Here is a 6,000-nt window from a genome sequence, read left to right as displayed (position 1 = left end):
TAAACCATCAGATCTCGTGAGAACTCCCTCACCATCAGGAGGACAGCACGGGGGAAGCACCCCCATGACCCAGTCACTTCCCACCAGGTCTCTCCCTCAACACCTTGGGATTATAATTCAAGATGAGAGTTGGGTGGGGACACAAAGCCTAACTATATCAACCAGGGTCTCTGGGCCTAAGAAGTGTCAAAAGGAAAATACTGCCACATTATTTAGGGCACAAAACTTTTAAGATGTCAACATAACGGAAACATTTGTCCCAGCCTCCTCAATCATTGTACCCACTCACAATGTCTTCATCATTTGTCCAAAAATGTTTTTGATCAGTGTTTTAATAATGACAATTCTGGCTCACCAAGAATAGCTTTGGGGCTTAAAAAAAAAAAGTCTTCTCAGACAAATTGAATTGGAATCTCTGGGGGTGGGGCAGAGTTGTTAGTATGGTTTTAAAGATAATCTAAGTCATTCTGAAAGGCAGCCAGTGTTAAGACCATTATGAAGATATCATATTCTAAGCAAACCTCTCATCTCTTTCTAATGCTCTCCCTTACCCTCCACTCAATGAGTAGCTATGTTCAAAGACCTACACTACATGTTTTGGAACATGTAAAAATGGGCCTGGCACAATGGCTCACACCTATAATCCCAACAGTTTGGGAGGCCAAGGCAGGACGATCACTTGAGCCCAGGAGTTCGAGACCAGCCTGGGAAACATAGGGAGGCCCGTCTCTACAGAAAATTAAAAAATTAGCCAGGCATGGTGGCACACACCTGTGGTCCCAGCTCCTTGGAAGGCTGAGGTGGGAGAACAGCTTGAGCCTGAGAGGTGGAGGCTACAGTGAGCCATGATCACACCACTGCAGTCCAGCCTGGGCAACACAGAGAGACCCTGTCTCAAAAATAAAAAAATAAATAAAATAAAATAAATAACAAAAATAAAAATGGTAAGACATAGACTTTGATGAGCATCTTACAACCTTGCTACATAAATGTTATGCACCATTAGAGTGGCAAAGTTAGGCTGGCTTAAATGATATGTCCACCTAGCGATTTTATAAGACGCGTGAAGAGGATAAAAAGAGTAAATTGGAAAGAGAAGGCCAAGCTAAACAATACGCAAAGAGCCAAAGGCAGAGGTTTTGTCACCAGATCTCAGGGTGGCAATCAGAGTCTAGTACCTGGTGGGGACTGGAGCACAGACGGAAAAATGAAATGAAAATTAGTCAAGGGTCCTGCGTCCCAATCCTGGGATTCACTATTTAGAATAAGACAAATAACTGCCACCAAGAGCTACATTTTAGAGATGGGTAGAAGATCAATGGGAGAAGAAACTTCTGTTCCCAGAGTTTTAAAACAAGGGCCTACTAATGAGATGCAGTCTGATTAACTCCTGGTAAAATGGCTGAATTAAGACAGGCTGATTTCAAGGAATTAAGAAAACCTGAAACTGAAGAGGGTCACGCCTGAACACCAAGGCCCTGCTTAAAAGCATGATTGCTTAATCCTACCAACCCAAAACAAGTGAAAATTCACTCAGGAAGCAGTGAAAAAGCCTAATTTGCTAAAGTGATGGGGCATGGTAAGAAACAAAAGTGTCTTAAATTACCTGCCCCACAAAAAAATAGACTTCCTCAAATTAGGACAACTGATGAAAACACTCTGCTAGAATAATGGGGTAGCTGAAGTCCTCCACAAGACAGCTTTTTAATTTCCTTTTAGAAACAAAATTTAAAATACAAAACAACTGGTCGGGTATGGTGGCGGGCGCCTGTAGTTCCAGCTACTCTGGAGGCTGAGGCAGGAGAATCGCTTGAACACGGAGGCAGAAGTTGCAGTGAGCCGAGATTGTGCCATTGCACTCCAGCCTGGGCAACGAGCGAGATTCTGTTTCCAAAAAAAGAAAAAAAAATTTAAATTAAATATTTACATTAGGAAATTATGACCACAGTCTACTTTCTGAGAATAAAAGAATTCTTAATTCTACTGCTTATTAGCAATAGAGAAAGAATATTTGAAGGAAAAATATCTCTGAGTGTTAAAGCAGAATGAGGATTAAATCAAGTAATTCTAATTCTGTCCCATCTTTATTCAGATGGGATAAATGGCTACTCCAGGTCACCAGGAAATCTGTCTGAATGCAAAGGTACAAACCTAGGTTCTTGATATTTACAGCAGGACCTTCCTTCTATGCATAGTCAACTGACATGAAAAATATACCATTGTAAAAAATATGATTTTCAGGATCACCTGCTATGTGGAAAAGCATATGTAGAATCACAATGTTGAGTAGGACCTGAATGCATCCACTAAGCCAATCTTCTTTGCAAGAAGGTGAACTTCAAAACTGCCCAAGGCATCATTAGGGTTGGAGAATCCACAGCTTCTATTAACACTTCACGTTGGCAGTGGCTCACGCCTGTAATCCCAGCACTTTGGGAGGCCGAGGCAGGCGGATCACGAGGTCAGGAGATTGAGATCATCGTGGCCAACATGGTGAAACCCCGTCTCTACTGAAAATACAAAAATTAGCTGAGTGTGGTGGCATGTGCCTGTAATCCCAGCTACTTGGGAAGTTGAGGCACGAGAATCGCTGGAATCCAGGAGGTGGAGGTTGCAGTGAGCCGAGATCATACCACTGTACTCCAGCCTGGTGACAGAGCGAGACTCCGTCTCAAAAAACAAAAACAAAAACAAAAAACACTCCATGTTGAGGGAATAATTGATAGTTTTTTTTCTGAATGGCTAGCCCAGATCTAACGATACAAGTCAAATGACTATGTGTTATTTTAAATCCTAGGGTTGATGAAGAATGATCAGGTCTTTGCCATAAATTGTCATATGCTTAAACACAAAGGTAGGCTTTCCATTTTAAAAATTTTCCATATCAAGTAATCCAAGTGTTTTCTCCCAAAGCCTTTATATTTCATCCTTTTAACAACTTAGATTTCTTTCTTCAGATAGCTTTGGTTTCTCCAAGTTCATTTTCTAGTTGGTCTTATTTACTGAAATCACTTTCAATTCTTGCCTATTGTCCAAAGGGGAGCCAAATAAAAATGATAGTATTAATAGTTAATACTTTCTGAGAGTTGTAGGATTACTATGTGTCAAACTCTGAACTAAGCATTTCTCTAAATGGCATGATAATTTGCTATTGGAAGAGACTCAAAAGAATGGGCAATATCTTTCTTTCCCCTATTCCAAGACGACCAGAAGATAGTCATACAATCCTATTTTGAGACTAATTCCCTCCCCTCTAAGGGTATTATTGCCTTTGGAGTTTCTAGGCTGAAAACAGAAGTTGTCAAGTCCCCCGAGGACAACTACTCACCCAGGCTTTGGTTTGAAAGTCTGGTGAATTGAGAAGAGGCGGTGGAGACTGAGGAGGTGGGAGTTGCTGGTAGAGGCGCTCCTGCCCAAGACAGGTTGCAGGTGTGCCTAATGGCGCACGGCTAGGAGGTATGTGTGGAAGGATTCTGGGATCTGAGGCCTTGTAGCAGAGGTGAGGATCTTGAGGCTGAGCCTGGGTTCAGCAGGGAGGACCTCTGTGAGGAGCACTGCTGAGCGGGCTGCAGTATCCACACCCAGCAGGCGCAGGGGGAGTTGGCTGGGCACCAGAAAGCACCAAGATGGAAGTACAGATGCCACCAGAGAACAAAGAGCAACCCAATTCCATGTTTTTCAGGCATTAGCTGAAGCCCCTGGGCTTTTGTGCCAATCTAGGAAGGAGGGGCTCCTCCACACATAACAGGTTGATTCATTTTTTTGATTCTTTTTTTTTTTTTTTTTTTATGACAGGGTCTTGCTCTTTTGCCCAGGCTGGAGTGCAGTGGCATAATCGTATCTCACTGCTACCTCAAACTCCTGGGCTCAATCGACCCTCCCATCTCCACCTCCCATGTAGCTGGGACCACAGGCATATGCCATGCCACCATACCTGGCTAATTTTTACATTTTTTCATAGGGACAGGGTCTTGCTATGTTACCCAGGTTGGTCTCCAACTCCCGGCCTCCCAAAGTGCTGGGACTACAGATGTGAGCCACTGTGCCCAGCCTGACCTGATACCTTTTGAATAGGTACTCAAAGCCAGATTTAGGGAGTGTTGTGGAACAAGTCCCTGCCCATTACACAGATATCTCTCAATTTCACACTCACAAGAACCACATGAGGCTCCAGTATTAGTTGCTTCCTATCTCATTTTACAGATGAGGATTATGGAGGTTAAATAACTTGCCCAAGGCCATATACATGCTTCAAGTCAGTCCCAGCTCTGCCTGATTCCAGAGCCTGTGATCTTCACCATAGTGCAAGATTAACTTGAGCTATTCTGTAAATTTTTTAAAAATGGTGTCACTTTGCTAATAATTAGAAATCAACTGTATCATTCAAAGGTGAAGAAAGGCCAGGCACAGTGACTCGCACCTGTAATCCCAGCACTCTGGGAGGCCAGGGCAGGAGGGTGGATCATTTGAGCTCAGGAGTTCAAGACCAGCCTCGGCAACAGGGGAAATCTCGTTTCTGCAAAAAATACAAAAATTAGCCGGGCGTGGTGGCCTGTGCCTGTGGTCCCAGCTACTCAGGAGGCTGAGGTGGGAGGATCACTTGTGTCTGGGAGGCTTCAGTGAGCCATAATCGCACCCCTGCACTCCAGCCTAGGCAACAGAACGAGACCCTCTCTCAAAAGACAAACAAAAACAACAACAAAGGTGGAGAAAGAAACTGAGGTCAACTTAATTATACATACCCTGTGCTATCGTTTGTGTGACCCCTCCAAATCTCATGTTGAAATTTGACTCCCAATGTTGGAGATGGGGCCAATGAGGGGTGTTTGGGTCACAGGACAAATCATGAATGTCTTACTCATGATTTACTCATCTCCGCCTAAATGTCTTGGTGCCATCCTCCTAGCAATGAGTTCTCACTCTATTAGTTCCCATGATAACTGGTTGTTAAAAAGAGCGTGGCACCTCTCTCCCCACACTTGCTTCCTCTCTCCCCATGTGATTTCTGTGCATGCTGGCTCTTCCCTTCCCTGATGAGTGCAAGCTGTCAGAGACCCTCAGTAGAAGCAGATGCTGGTGCCAGGCTTCTTTTACAGCCTGCAGAACCATGAGCCAAATATATCTTTTAAAAATAAATTACCCAGTCTGAGGTATTCCTAGATAGCAACACTAAATGGACTGAGACACCCTTGGATACAAACTTGTACCATGTCAATATTTTAGTTACATAAAAAATTCTAGCATAGTGAATAGAACCCTTAATATATACTAAATTTTAAATAAAAAAAATGACCAGCCCTGAAAACTAGTGAGACCCCGTCTCTACATAAAAATAAAAAATGAGCTGAGTGTGGTGGTACACACCTGTAGTCCCAGCTGGTTGGGAGGCTGAAGTGGGAGGATCACTTCAGTCTAGGAGGTTGAGGCTGCAGTGAGCCGTGATTGCACCACTGCACTCCAGCCTGGGCAACAGAGCAAGGCCCTGCCTCAAAATATCAATCAATCAATCAATCTCAGTCTGGAGCTGTTTACTAAGTATCCTAGTGAAGATGGTGACATCTCTGTTGTACTCACCAAGCAACTAGGAAATCAGGCACTGTGCTAGGCAGTCTTCATCTTGAAGATAAAATTCAAATTTCTTGGCTCCACAAAGTCATCTTCCAGCATTATCTTCTACTGTTGCCTACACATCATTTTCCCCAGCCATACTAAACTGTTCACATGTGATACAGTAAACTGAGTACCTTCCCTACTTTGTATCAGCTGCAAAGAAAGTAGGTCCAACTGGAAAAGGCAGTTGGGTTTTATTCAGTGGCCAGAGAATAGAGAAGGGGAGCTCTTGCTCTAAAGTCACCTTCTCCTGGAGCAATAGGAGTCAGGGGATTGCAAAGAGTTAGATGAGAGGCAGGGGAGGTATATAACATGCTCAGGGTGGAGTTCCACACAGGTGCAGTCCCCACACATGCTTCTTCATACATTGTATGTATACAACATGGTGGC

Source organism: Homo sapiens, chromosome 7 (genome assembly GCF_000001405.40).
Source record: "Homo sapiens chromosome 7, GRCh38.p14 Primary Assembly".
Classification (NCBI taxonomy): Eukaryota; Metazoa; Chordata; class Mammalia; order Primates; family Hominidae; genus Homo; species Homo sapiens.
Note: the sequence above shows the minus strand (reverse complement) of the source record.